Below are 14,266 nucleotides of genomic sequence, written 5' to 3'. Positions count from 1 at the left end.
TGCCTGTAATCCCAACACTTTGGGAGGCTGAGGCGGGCAGAACACCTGAGGTCAGGAGTTCAAGACCAGCCTGGCCAACATGGTGAAACCTCATCTCTACTAAAAATACAAAAATTAGCCAGGCATGGTGGTGCACACCTGCAATCCCAGCTACTCAGGAGGCTGAGGCATGAAAATCTCTTGAACCAGGAGGCGGAGGTTACAGTGAGCCAAGATTGCGCCACTGCGCTCCAGCGTGGGCAGGAGAGGCTCCATCAAAAAAAAGGAAAGAAGGAAGGAAGGGAGGAAGGGAGGAAGGAAGGGGAAGGAAGGAAGGAAGGAAGGAAGGAAGGAAAGAAGGAAGGAAGGAAGGAAGGAAGGAAGGAAATAGGACCTAACACACAAGGAACCACAGCACAATCATCCCCAGTACTCTTCAGCCACCCACACATGCTCCTTTATATCAAGGGCTTTCAAAGTAGCATTTCTTCTGTTTTCCTCTTCTTCTTTTTTATTTTTTCTTTTAAGACGGAGTTTCACTCGTCGCCCAGGCTGGAGTGCAATGGCGTGACCTCAGCTCACCACAACCTCCACCTCCCGAGTTCAAGCAATTCTCCTGCCTAAGCCTCCGAGTAGCTGGGATTACAGGCATGTGCCACTACGCCCGACTAATTTTGTATTTTTAGTAGAGACCGGGGTTTCTCCATGTTGGTCAGGCTAGCCTTGTTCAAGGCTACCCGACCTCAGGTGATCCGCCCGCCTCAGCCTCCCAGCTGTTTTCCTCTCCTAAAGGGATCTCTACACCCGCAAGGATCAATCGTTTTCCTCTCTGCTCCCATGTCTGTCTTTTCACAGGGATATAGTTTAAGAGACTACTTATTTTGTTCTGAAATGTTTTCTTGTACAAAAAAACATAAATGTATCCTTGTCTTCTTACATGGCACGTTTCTGTGGCAAAGTTTGTCCTCTATATAAGATAAATTCCCATGTGGGCATGGTGGCTCACACCTGTAATCCCAGCACTTTGGGAGGCCGAGGTGGGTGGATCACCTGAGGTCAAGAGTTCGAGAACAGCCTGGCCAACATGGTGAAACCCCTCTCTACTAAAAATAAAAAAATTAGCCAGCTGTGGTGGTGTGCACCTGTAGTCCCAGGTACTCAGGAGGCTGAGGCAGGAGAATCACTCGAACCCAGGAGGTGGAGGTTGCAATGAGCCGAGATCGCACCACTATACTCCAGCCTGGGCAACAGAGCAGGACTCTGTCTCAAAAAAGAAAAAAAAAAAGATAAATTCCCATGAAACTTACATTTTCATACCAGTACACTACAGCGTGGGTGACAAAGCAAGACCCTATCTCAAAAACAAAACAGGCCAGGTACAGTGGCTCATGCCTGTAATTCCAGCACTTTGGGATGCCAAGGCAGGATTGTTTGAGCCTAGGAGTTTGAGACCAGCCTGGGCAACATGGCAAAACCCCATCTGTACAAAAATACAAAAATTAGCCAGGTGTGGTGGTGCACACTTGTAATCCCAGCTACTCAGGAGGCTGAGGCAAGAGGATCACTGAGCCCAGGAGTCCATGGCTTCAGTGAGCCATGTTTGCACCACTGCACTCCAGCCTGGGCAACAGAGCAGAATCCTGTCTAAATAAAAAATAAAAATTCACAAAGCCCAGGTGTGGTGGCTCATGCCTGTAATGTCAACACTTTGGGAGGCCAATGCAGGAGGAGAATCGCTTGAGACCACAGGTTCGAGACCAGCTTAGGCCACATGGTGAGACCCCATATCTATTACTTAAAACAAAAACAAAAATGTCACAGGCATACCTATTTATGGCATGCCTGCTCACCCTCCCTCTTCCCAGTGTAAGACGAGGGAAAGGTCACCTGCTGCTGTCGCCGGTGATGCTGCACTCTACAACAGGAGCTTTGGGCCTGTGCTCAAAATCGCGAACCACAGAACCGTCCACCGGATCCTCAAATCAACGGGAGAGAGAGGAGAAGAGAGTGGTCACTGCCGTGTTTGCTGAAGTCGTAAATCGAGGTCAACATTAGCCCTTAGCTTATCTCTGGTAGCAAAATCTGAGAACTCCAAGGTCCTGGGACTCTCACTCAGCTCCGAAAGAGGAAAGGACTTTGCAACATGTCCGTCCCCTGAGCGGGAAGGACACCCTTGCCATTCCTGGCATCCATGGGAAATTACCCCGCAATTCCAGACACCAGGTGGAAACTGGCCATGCTGGGGGCAGAGCTGCAAACAGATTGTGTTTTCCTTTCCTACTGGCCAAAAAGTCTTTGCAGAATCTAGCAATATCTTCCAGGCCGGGCGCGGTGGCTCACGACTGTAATCCCAGCACTTTGGGAGGCCGAGGTGGGTGGATCACCTGAGGTCAGGAGTTCAAGACCAGCCTGGCCAACATGGTGAAACCTCGTCTCTACTAAAAATATGAAAATTAGCTGGGTGTGGTGGCGCGCGCCTGTAGTCCCAGCTATTCATGAGGCTGAGGCAGGAGAATCGCTTGAACCCGGAAGTCGGAGGTTTCAGTGAGCTAAGATTGCGCCACTTCATTCCAGCCTGGGCGACAGAGCGAGACACCGTCTCAAAAAGAAAAGAAAATGATCGTCTTGGGTTGTGGGATCCAGGCCCCTGCACGCACTCTGGGCGGGCCGGGGCCAACTGAGGGCAGCGCCAGAATGATCAGTGTCCGTGGGGCTGCGCAGTTTTAGACTCGACAGTGACACCAAGTGGCCAAGAGCAGGAACAGCGGCTGTGCAGAGATCGGCCCACTCCCTCCACACTGGGCATTTAGAAGCACGACCCCATCCCTGTGGACCCAGACAATTTAAAGGGGAAATACTGGTTAGACTTCAAATGAACGAGGGAAAGGGGGTCTAATAAACAGTTGGAAAATAAAGGAGATGTGACAATATTTGGCGTCTACGTTTATGGTGAGTACATATCAGTATTTTGGTACAGTCCCAGTTTCATAAATGTATGTGGATGTTCGTGGAGAAGAAAAAAATACCTATGACAACATTTTCACAGCCGTTAACTTTGGGGTCATGGAAAGATGAGTTTTTTTCTTTCTTGTGTTTTCATGTGTTTCCTGTAATAAAATCATATTACCTTTGTAATAATATGAGAAAAACTACCAAACTTTTTTTTTTTTTTTTTGAGAGAGGGTCTTGCTCTATCACCCAGGCTGGAGTGCAGTGGCAAGAACACGGCTCACTGCACCCCTTGGCCTCCTGGGCCAAAGCCATCCTCCCATCTCAGCCTCCCAAGTCGCTGGGACCATAGGCACACGCCACCACGCCTGGCTAATTTTTTTGTTTTTGGTAGAAACAAGGTCTCACTATATTACCCAGGCTGGTCTCAAACTCCTTGGCTCAAGCGATCCTCCTGCCTCAACCTCCAAAAGTGCTGGGATTACAGGCGTGACTCACTGTGACCAGCCTTTTTTTTTTTTTTTTTTTTTTTTGACACTGGATCTCACTCTGTTGTTACCCAGGCTTGAGTGCAGTGGTGCAATTATGGCTCACTGCAGGCACCACCTCCTGGGCTCCAGCAATCCTCCCATCTCAACTTCCCGAGTAGCTGGGACTACAGAAGTGCACAACCATGCCTGGCTAATTTTTTATTTTTTATTTTATAGAGATGAGGGTCTTGCTACATTGCCCAGGCTGGTCTCAAACTCTTGGCCTCAAGCAACCCTCTCACCTCGGCCTCCCAAAGCACTGGGATTACAGACGTGGGCCATTGCACTCAGCTTTCAGGGAGACTTAAACCCTTTCTTAATCCTCTGGGGTGACTGAGAGACCCCAGGGGCAAGGGAGCCTCTCCCCTTGTCATTGCCCAGGGGATGGGATGGTAACTTGCCACCTGTGCAGTCCACCTTGCATCTTCCAATTCTCCCACGTTATTCCCGCCCCCCGGCCTTTTTTTTTTTTTTTTTTTTTTTTTTTTTGTATTTTTAGTAGAGACAGGGTTTCACCATATTGGCCAGCCTGGTCTCGAACTACTGACCTCGTGATCCACCCACCTGGGCCTCCCAAATTGCTGGGATTACAGGTGTGAGCCACTACGCCCGGCCCTTCTTTCCCCTTTTGAGTCGGCAGAAGGGCCCCCCGGGACTGCTGTCTGTGTTGGCCAAAGGGCTCTTGTCTCCATGAAGGGAAAGATGCCTGTTTTCACCTTGGTTGTTGTCCCAAGATTAGAGACCCTAATCTTGGAGAGGCCCTCGGTCCCCACAACAGCCTTCTTGCTCTCATTCCCTGCCTGTTCCATGCCCCATCCACAATGCAGGCACTGTCACCTCTGCCACCTCATATGCCCTCCTTCCCATGAGCCGTCCTTCTCCATGTCCCAGGAAGTGCATCCAAGTGTTCCCCACCCGCACCACAGACTGCTTCCAGCCCTCCTCCCTCCACCACTTTCTCCAGGCAGCCCCTCATCCCTGTGCTCCCTCCCTCTGCCCTCCTAGTGCCTTCGCCCCTTGTCCCATAAATCGCCACCTCTCCTCTGAGCCCCTGCCTTAGCTGGTCCCATTGGCTGCCACTCCAGAGACCTGTCTCCTCCCCTGGCTCTCTTCTTCCATCTTCGTCCCCCCCTGCTGGCTCCTTGAGACCCTCAGCTGTGGCTCCCACCATGCGCTCCATGTCCCTCCGTAGAGGGTGAACCCATAACCCTACACAGTCATCTCCTCTTGTCACAGTATCTTGGCCAAAATCTCCCCTGGCCTCCCCTCTCTGCCTCACCCACTGACCCCGTTTCCAGTCCCTGCCCCCAGCAACACCTCAAATCCAAATACCTTTTAAATCTTTTAAAAGCCCCTTTTCCTCTAGGTGCAGTGGCTCATGCCTGTAATCCCAGCACTTTGGGAGGCCAAGGCGGACAGATCACCTGAGGTCAGGAGTTTGAGACCAGCCTGGCCAACATGATGAAACCCCATCTCTACTAAAAATACAAAAATTAGCCGGGCGTGGTGGCAGGTGCCTGTAATCCCAGCTACTTGGGAGGCTGAGGCAGGAGAATCGCTTGAACTCAGGAGGCAGAGGTTGCAGTGAGCCGAGACCACGCCACTGCACTCCAGCCTGAGCAACAAGAGCAAAACGCCATCTCAAAAAAACAAACAAACAAAAAACCCTTTTCCCCTCATTGGAGATTATTGTGAATAACTTGGAAAGTCCATAAATGTACAGAGAAGCTGGGAAAAATATTCTTCATCCTATGCCCAATCTCCCTCTAATATATTGCCACCTTTTTTCTGGTCATTTAAAAATAAGTTTGGGGCTGGGTTTTGGTGGCTCATGCTGTATCCCAGTGTTTTGGGAGGCCAAGGAGGAAGGACGGCTTGAGGCCAGGAGCTCAAGACCAGCCCGGGCAACACAGGGAGATCCCATCTCTACAAAAAATGATAATATTAGCTGGGCATGGCAGCCTGTTCCTGCAGTCCCAGATACTCAGGAGGCTGAGGTGGGAGGATCACTTGAGCCCAGGAGGTTGAGGCTGCAGTGAGCCATAACTGCACCACTGCACTTCAGCCTGGGCAACAGAGTGAGATCCTGTGTCAAAAAAGAAAAAAAAAAAAACATGCTCCCACACCTGTAATCCCAGCACTTTTGGAGGCTGAGGCAGGAGAGTCGCTTGAGCCAAGGAGTTTGAGACCAGCCTGGGCAATGTAGTGAGACCCTGTCTCTACGAAAAACAAAAAAATTAGCCAGGCATGGTGGTGTGTGCCTGTGGTCCCAGCGACTTGGGAGGCTGAGATGGGAGGATGCCTTTAGCCCAGGAGGTAAAAGGTGCAGTGAGCTGTGTTCTTGCCACTGCACTCCAGCCTGGGTGATAGAGCAAGACCCTGTCTCAAAAAAAAAAAAAAAAAAATGTAAGTTTGGTAGTTTTTCTCATATTATTACAAAGGTAATATGATTTTATTACAGAAAACACAAGAAAGAAAAACATTCATCCTTCCATGACCCCAGAGTTAACAGCTGTGAATATGTTGGCATATGTCTTTTCTTTTTTTTTTTGAGACGGAGTCTCCCACCGTCGCCCAGGCTGGAGTGCAGTGGTGCGATCTCGGCTCACTGCAACCTCCGCCTCCCAGGTTCAAGCAATTCTCCTGTCTCAGCCTCCTGAGTAGCTGGGACTACAGGCACCTGCCACCACACCCAGCTAATTTTTGTATTTTTAGTAGAGACGGGGTTTCACCACATTGGTCAGGCTGGTCTTGAACTCCTGATCTCAGGTGATTTGCTCGCCTCGGCCTCCCAAAGTGCTGGGATTACAGGCATGAGCCACTGCGCCCAGCCGACGTGTCTTTTTTTCTTGTCCACACATGTCCGCATACATCTATGAAACTGGGACTTTGGTGGCCCATGCCTGAAGTTCCAGCACTTTGGGAAGCTGAGGCGGGAGGATTGCTTGAGGCCAAGAGTTTGAGACTAGCCTGGGCAATGTAGCAAGACCCTCATCTCTACAATATAAAATATAAAAAATTAGCTAGGTGTGGTGGTGCACTCCTGCAGTCCCAGCTACTCGGGGTGTTGAGATGGGGGGATTGCTTGAGTCCAGGAGGTTGAGGCTGCAGTGAGCCGTAATTGCACCACTGCACTCCAGCCTGGGTGACAGAGAAAGACTCTGTCTCTAAAACAAAACAAAGAAAAAATTCCTCTAGTGTTATCCTGTGGGCTGTGGGGGTGAGGCTCCCAGAGAAACCAGCAGTTTTTCTAACAAGATCTTGAGGCTCTGGGCTCTGTGGGCCAGGTGTCCATAAGGACAGCTACGGAGGGCGGGAGTGGAGGTGAGTTGAGCCCCGGGGCAGCCCCTTCACACAACTGGTCCTGTGCAGCATGGGCAGACCCAGGGAGGCCCAGGAGGTCATGCAACCCCCCAGGGTCACACAGCTGGTAAGTCCTAAACGTGGGGTCCACCACAAACCCTCCTGCCCAGTTGTCATGCCCTTGGCACAGATTATATCTTGTGGCTGTGTGTGTGTGTGTGTGTATGCATATTTTCTCCCATTTCCATTTCACAAAAGAGCAAGTATGAAGTTATAGGCCAATGGTCTTAAATTCATTAAAAACAAACAAACAAACAAAAACAGACAATAGTGGGGATTGACTGATAATGTCTCAAAAAAATCCTCTGTTCCAAACCCTTAAATCCTTTTGCCTGTACCATCCTAAGAACCACTCAACTGATGTCTTTATTTCCGATCTTCATGCGAGTATCTGTCCCCCTAGCAGGAAATACCAGAGAAAACATTCCCTTGAGGTCGTCTGTAGGGTGAGGGGCTATCCTCTTCCCCGTTACCCAAACCAGAACCCAGGAACCAGCCTCAACTCCCTCCACTCCTGTCCCTGAAGCCAGATGCTGCAAAACTCACAACTGACCGTCCTCTCCCATGAGTCCCAGCCCCAGCCACACAGCCTTCTGCAGCCTGGCCTCATGGCCACTGCCTTCCCCCAGCCCTGCTCCTCCCCAGCCCTCCTGAGTGATCTGCACTGCCTGGGCCTGCTGGCCATGCCCTGCAGTCCCCAGAAGGGCTCCAGGAGCCACCTCTGCAACCTCATGTGAACCTCACAGCCCCATCCCCGGTGCCCCTGCCTGCTGCACCTTGGGGTGCTGATCTGCACCCAGGCCTGCCTCTTCCAACCACCCCTCATGAACAGGTCCCAGGCCTGGACACCTTTCTGTCCTCTGTGACCACACAGACCTGGCCATCCAGTCTCTGTGGATGGAGCTCAGTTTTCCAGATGAGAAGGAGACCCAGAGAGATGACATCCTAGGCCCCAAACACAGCCAGGACTTCCGTTCTCTGACAGGTGTGTGGGGTGGCCGGGCACAGTGGCTCACACCTATAATCCCAACAATTTGGGAGGCCGAAGCAGGTAGATCACTTGAGGCCAGGAGTTTGATACCATCCTGGCCAACACAGTGAAACCCTGTCTCTACTAAAAATAAAAAATTAGCTGGGCATGGTGGCGTGCCTCTGTAGTCCCAGCTACTAGGGAGGCTGAGGCAGGAGAATCACTTGAACCCAGAGGCGGAAGTTGTAGTGAGCCGAGATCGTGGCACTATACTCCAGCCTGGGCGACAGAGCAAGACTCTGTCTCAAAAAAAAAAAAAAGAAAAGAAAAGAAAAGAAAGGAAAAAAAAAAAAGGTGTGGGGGCCAGGCACGGTGGCTCACACCTATCATCCCTGCACTTTGGTAGGCTGAGGCAGGTGGATCATCTGAAGTCAGGAGTTCGAGACCAGCCTGGCTAACGTGGTGAAACTCTGTCTCTACTAAAAAAATAAAATTAGCCAGGAGTAGTGGCACACACCTGTAGTCCTAGCTACTCAGGAGGCTGAGGCAGGACAATCACTTGAACCCGGGAGGCAGAGGTTGCAGTGAACTGAGATCACGCCATTGCACTCCATCTGGGCAACACTTGTTCTCAAAAACAAACAAACAAACAAAAGGGCCAGTCGCTGTGGCTCATGCCTATATTCCCAGCACTTCGGGAGGCCGAGGTGGGTGGATCACCTGAGGTCAGGAGTTCAAGACCAGCCTGACCAACATGGTGAAACCCCATCTCTACTAAAAAACACAAAAAAACAAAAAACAAAATTAGCTGGGTGTGGTGGCACATGCCTGAAATCCCAGCTACTTGGGAGGCTGAGGCAGCAGAATGGCTTGAACTCAGGAGGCGGAGGTTGCAGTGAGCCGAGATCACGCCATTGCACTCCAGCCTGGGTAACAAGAGCGAAACTCCGTCTCAAAAAAAAAAAAAAATGTGTGGCACTCTCAGTCCAGAGGTCTCCATCCCATTCCCACTGTTTCCAGGCCTGCAAGCTGGCAGCAGCCACCCTAACTTCGTCTAGGCTGGGCTCTCACCCTCTCCTCCTTCTGGCACTTTGCTCAGAAGACCTGCAAACCAGGACCCACAAGTGCCTGTGAGTTCAGTGCTGGGGAACTCGACACAGGAGGTGCCTAAGCTTAGGAAAGGTTTTCGCTCCAGGAGTACCTAACAGCCGGCCACCTACCCACAGCTTCACAGTGCAGTCATAGGAGCCACTGAGGAGCTTTGTGTCATCCACACAGAAGTGGCAGGTGCTCACAGCGTGCTCGTGCCCACTCAGAATTTTAAATGGGATCTGAAAAAAGGAGAGACCAGATGAGCTAAACATGTTGCAGGACACAAAATCAATGTACAACAGTTAATTATATTTCTAAACACTTGCAATAAACCACCCGGAAAAAAATGAATTTAAAAAATTCTGGCCAGGGGGGTGGTTCACGTCTGTAATCCCAGCACTTTGGGAGGCCGAGGCAGGCAGATCACCTGAGGTCAGGAGTTCAAGACCAGCCTGGCCAACATGGCAAAACTCCATCTCTACTAAAAATACAAAACTTGGCTGGGCATGGTGGCGCATGCCTATAATCCCAGCTACTCGGAGGCTGAGGCAGGAGAATCACTTGAATACAGGAGGCGGAGGTTGCAGTGAGCCAAGATTGCACCACTGCACTCCAGCCTGGGTGACAGAGTGAGATTCCATCTGAAAAAAAAAAAAAAAATTCTGGCTGGGCACGGTGGCTCATCCCTGTAATCCCAGCATTCTGGGAGGCTGGGGCAGGAGGACTGCTTGAGCCTAGGAGTTCAAGACCAGTCTGGGCAACATAGTGAGACTGTCTGTACAAAATTGGAAAAAAAAAAAAAAGAAGAAGAAAGAAAATGAGCCAGGCATGGTGGCTCACACTTGTAGTCCCAGCCACTCAGGAGGCTGAGGCGGGAGGACTACTTGAGCCCAGAAGGTTAACGTTACAGTGAGCTATGATTGCAGCACTGCACTCCAGCCTGGGTGACAGAGCAAGACCCTGCCTTTAAATAATAAAAATTAAAATTTTAAATGGGCAAAGGATTTGAATAGATATATCTCCAAAGAAGATATGCAAGGGCGGGATGTGGTGGCTCACAATTATAATCTCAGCACTTTGGGAGGCTGAAGCAGGCGGATCACTTGAGGCCAGGAGATTAAGACCAGCCTGGCCAACATGGCAAAACCCCATCTCTACTAAAAAATAAAAAATAAAAATAAATAAATTAGCCAGCCATCGTGGTGTGCTCCTGTAATCCCAACTACTCAGGAGGCTGAGTCATGAGAATTGCTTGAACCCAGGAGGCGGAGGTTACAATGAGCTATGATCATGTCACTGCACTCCAGCCTGGGTGACAGAGTGAGAACTGTCTCAAAAAGAAAAAATAAAAATAGTTGATAGCACATGAAAAGATTCTCAGCATGACTCACCACATCAGGAAAGTGCAAATGAAAACCATAGTGTGGCCGGGCGCGGTGGCTCATGCCTGTAATCCCAGCACTTTGGGAGACCGAGGCAGGCGGATCACCTGAGGTCAGGAATTCAAGACCAGCCTGGCCAACATGGCAAAACCCCATCTCTACTAAAAATACAAAAATTAGGCCAGGCACGGTGGCTCATGCCTATAATCCCAGCACTTTGGGAGGCTGAGGTAGGTGGATCACCTGAGGTTGGGAGTTTGAGACCAGCCTGACCAACATGGAGAAACCCCGTCTCTACTAAAAATACAAAATTAGCCAGGCATGGTGGCGCATGCCTGTAATCCCAGCTACTCATGAGGCTGAGGCAGGAGAATCGCTTGAACCCGGGAGGCGGAGGTTGCAGTGAGCCGAGGTCGTGCCATTGCACTCCAGCCTGGGCAACAAGAGCAAAACTCCATCTCAAAAAAAAAAAAAAAATTAGCCGAGTGTGGTGTTGGGCACCTCTAATCCCAGCTACTTGGGAGGCTAAGGCAGGAGAATCGCTTGAACCTGGGAGGTAGAGGCTGCAGTGAGCTGAGATCATGCCACTGCACTCCAGCCTGGGTGACAGAGCAAGACTTCGTCTTAAAAAATAAAAGAAAAGAAAGAAAGAAAGAAAGAAAAGAAAACCAAAGTGTGATACTGTGTCATATTTGTTAGGATGGCTATCATCAAAGTCCCATAACAAGTGTTGGCAAGGATGCCAATAGTTGGAAACCTCCTACATTGCTGGTAGGAACGTAAAGTAGTGCAGCCACTTTGAAAAACGGGCGGTTCGGCCAGGCGCAGTGGCTCACGCCTGTAATCCCAGCACTTTGGGAGGCCAAGGTGGGTGGATCACCTGAGGCCAGGAGTTCAAGACCAGCCTGGCCAACATGGTGAAACCCCGTCTCTACTAAAAGTACAAAAATTAGCCGGGCATGGTGGCACATGCCTGTAAGCCCAGCTACTGGGAGACTGAGACTGGAGAATCGCTTGAACCTGGGAGGCAGAGGCTGCAGTGAGCCAAGATCACGCCACTGCACTCCAGCCTGGGCAACAGAGCGAGACTCCATCTCAAAGAAAGAGAAAATGTGTCATGGCCATGCAACAGAATATTACTTGGTAATGAAAAGGGAAGGGAGCACTGCTACAGGCTACAACATGGATGAACCTTGAGGACGTTAGCTAAGGAAATGAAGCCAGTCACAAGAGACCACGTATGGCTTGATTCTATCGCTATAAAAGGTCTAGAATAGACAAATCTATGGACAGAAAGCAGAATTGCCTGGTGTCGGCAGGATGGGTATTGGGGAACTGGGGAGTACAGTACTCTGAATACCCTAGAAACCACTACAGCTTCTATGGTTAAATTATATGGTACGTGAATTATATCTCAGTAAAACTGGGGGGAAAAAAAGAGGACAGAGCAGGGAAGCCTGAAGATGTCACCCCCCCCACCCACCCACCCCAGCTCGCGCATGGCGACACGTCCCAGGTTGAGCTGCGGAAGTGTGGGGGTGGGGGAAATGTTGGAGGCAAGACCAGGGGTGTGGCCTGGAAGGCAGTGTCAGGGTGCTGGGCTGAGTTGGCAGGAGGACAGGGGTGAGGGGATGCGACGGTTCAGGGCGGCGGTGGCCTTCCGGTTGCAGGTGATGCGGGGCGGGGGGGGGGGTGTCGGGGACGTGCAGGTGGAGATGCAGGGGATGAGATGATACCCCGCCTCTAGGGGGCTCGGGGACACGAGGACACTGGAACGCGGGCTCCGTTGCCAGGGAGCGTGGAGAGCTGGGACCGGGCTTTTCTCCGGGGGAGTTCGCTAACCCCGTCGGGCCAGGCCGGGGCCGCGCGTGCAGGGTTGGCTCCCTACCCCAGGAGCGGCCCCAGTCCCCGGGACATGACCTGCGCGGCCCTCCCGCACCGCCCCCGCCTCTGGCGACCCCAGCCCCTGCCGCCCCTGCAGGGTTTGGGTTATCTCTCTCATTAGGAAAACCCAACTATCATTAAAAATTGAAATTAAATTGGCTGGGTGCAGTGGCTCACGCATGCAATTCCAGTGCTTTGGGAGGCCCAGGAGTGAGGATTGCTTGAGGCCAGGAGTTTAAGACCAGCCTGGGCAACATGGCGAGACTCCCCCTCTCTACAAAAAAAATCAAAATTAAAATTAATAATTTAAAAAATATATAATTTAATTTAAAAAATAGGAAAACAAAAAACCTAGAACTCCATCATGGAAAAACATTAGCAAGAGGGGGGAACCATTCCGCTACCCCCACCACAGGCTTTTCTGGGGCTCTCGTTTCAGGTTTTTTTCTGCACACAGTCCCTTGGGATCCACTAGGTAAAGGGGTCCCAGGGGCTGCAGAGAGAAGTCCCCAACACATGAGTACATTTCAGAGGTGCTGACAAAGCTCATGCAGAGGACAGAGCAAAAACAAAACGGTTCTTCTATGCGTAGCGTTCATTCACATATTCCACAAATAAACCTCAAGAGCCTCCTCCCCCATGGGGCCTGGACCTGATGCTGCAGCTCAGCAGCCACCTAGGAGCAAAGTCCCTAACCTCGAGGGGCCAGTTGCTGGCAGCCAGAGGACACCTTGAGGACGGAACGGGGATGTCAGACCATGGCATGAGGCACGGAGGAGACAGTGGCCCTGGCTACTTTAGACGGGCGGTCAGGGAGGGCCTCCCCAAGAGCGCAATACCGTGGGGGCAGGGAACCGCCAAGATCCCTGAGGCCAGACCTGCTTGTAGGTCAGCAAGACAGGGGGATGGGGGAGGAGAACATGGAGAGGTGCCAGATTTGAAATGGCCTGGAAGGCCACAGGCAGATCGCCAGACTTCATCTTAAACATGCTGGGAAGCCAGGCAGAGGTTTCGAGGAAATTATTAAAAACACACTCTGACATCTGCATGTGAGTGCAATAAATCAAGGCCAAGCATGAAACGCTACTTATTGAGAATGTTCTTTATTGGGTTTTTGTTTTGTTTTGTTTTTGAGATGGAGTGAGATGATCTCAGCTCACTGCAACCTCTGCCTCCCGGGTTCAAATGATCTTGCTGCCTCAGCCTCCTGAGTAGCTGGGATTACAGGCACGCACCACCATGCCTGGCTAATTTTTGCATTTTTAGTAGAGAAAGGGTTTCACCATGTTAGCCAGGCTGGTCTCGAACCCTTGACCTCAAGTGATCTGCTCATCTCGGCTTCCCAAAGTGCTGGGATTACAGACATGAGCCACTGCACCCAGCCAGTTTTTCTTTCTTTCTCCTTCTTTCTTTCTTTTTCTTTTTCTTTCTTTCTTTCTCTCTCTCTCTCTATATTTATTTATTTATTTATTTATTTATTTATTTATTTATTCTGGAGACAGTCTCGCTCTGTTGCCCAGGCTGGAGTGCAGTGGCACAATCATAGCTCACTGCAGCCTTAAACTCCTGGGTTCAAGGGATCCTCTTGCCTCAGCCTTTCAAGTGGCTGGGACCACAGGTGCGCCCCATCACACTGGGCTAAGTTTATTTCTTGTAGAGACGACCTCTCACTATGTTGCCCAGGCTGGTCTCAAACTCCTGGGCTCAAGTGATCCTCCCACCTGGGCCTCCCAAAGGGCTGGGATTACAGGTGTGAGCCACCTTGCCTGGCCCAATTCATTGTTGTTATTATTATTCTGAGTTTCCCGTTTCTTCTGACGCTAACTGTATCTCCTGGACGGGGAGAGCTGAGCCACCGACCCTTGGGCTGCAATTAGGAGCATCACTGTGGGTGGGCCTACCTACGGAGACTCCAAGGTCTAGATGGGGTCACATGGTGGGGCAGAGCCTCCTCCCAGCGAAGAGTCCTGGTTCCCCAGCAGGTGGCAGTGCGGGGAGCCCCCGCCGGCATCCCCAGCACGCCCTGCTCAGGTGGGTCTGACCTTTGCCCACAGATGTACCACAGATGGGGAAATGGGCCTAGGGCCTCGCTGGGGGTCCTGGTGAAGCCAGGTGGG

General features: G+C 51.0%; 1 protein-coding gene across 6 annotated transcripts in view, besides 3 other annotated features; it reads right to left on the bottom strand.

The window, feature by feature from the left end:
- Positions 1-14,266, bottom strand: part of WDR88 (WD repeat domain 88) — a 43,686-nt gene that overhangs the window by 29,001 nt on the left and 419 nt on the right. For 5 of the 6 annotated variants that reach the window (NR_135565.2, XR_007066581.1, XM_011526449.3 and 2 more), the window contains exons 2-3: positions 9,012-9,122; positions 1,867-1,955 (exon numbers count right to left, since the gene is read on the bottom strand). Coding sequence is in view for 3 of the 6 variants with exons in the window: in XM_011526449.3 (XP_011524751.1) it covers positions 1,867-1,955; positions 9,012-9,122 (200 nt within the window). In the remaining 3 variants the exon portion in view is untranslated. Of the gene's footprint in view, positions 1-1,866; positions 1,956-3,005; positions 3,086-9,011; positions 9,123-14,266 lie in introns of those variants that run through there. The other variant, XM_047438166.1, reaches the window with a different exon arrangement.
- Positions 10,210-10,349: an enhancer, noted in NCBI's record as "active region_14439". NCBI's record gives its function as "activates an Ori minimal core promoter by ATAC-STARR-seq in GM12878 lymphoblastoid cells {active_cell/tissue: GM12878}" and the evidence as "EXISTENCE:reporter gene assay evidence [ECO:0000049][PMID:35858748]".
- Positions 11,792-11,841: an enhancer, noted in NCBI's record as "active region_14438". NCBI's record gives its function as "activates an Ori minimal core promoter by ATAC-STARR-seq in GM12878 lymphoblastoid cells {active_cell/tissue: GM12878}" and the evidence as "EXISTENCE:reporter gene assay evidence [ECO:0000049][PMID:35858748]".
- Positions 11,922-12,041: a silencer, noted in NCBI's record as "silent region_10490". NCBI's record gives its function as "represses an Ori minimal core promoter by ATAC-STARR-seq in GM12878 lymphoblastoid cells {active_cell/tissue: GM12878}" and the evidence as "EXISTENCE:reporter gene assay evidence [ECO:0000049][PMID:35858748]".

This window comes from Homo sapiens, chromosome 19 (genome assembly GCF_000001405.40).
Source record: "Homo sapiens chromosome 19, GRCh38.p14 Primary Assembly".
Classification (NCBI taxonomy): Eukaryota; Metazoa; Chordata; class Mammalia; order Primates; family Hominidae; genus Homo; species Homo sapiens.
The sequence above is the reverse complement of the archived record's forward strand: the minus strand, read 5'-3'. Positions and strand labels throughout refer to the sequence as shown.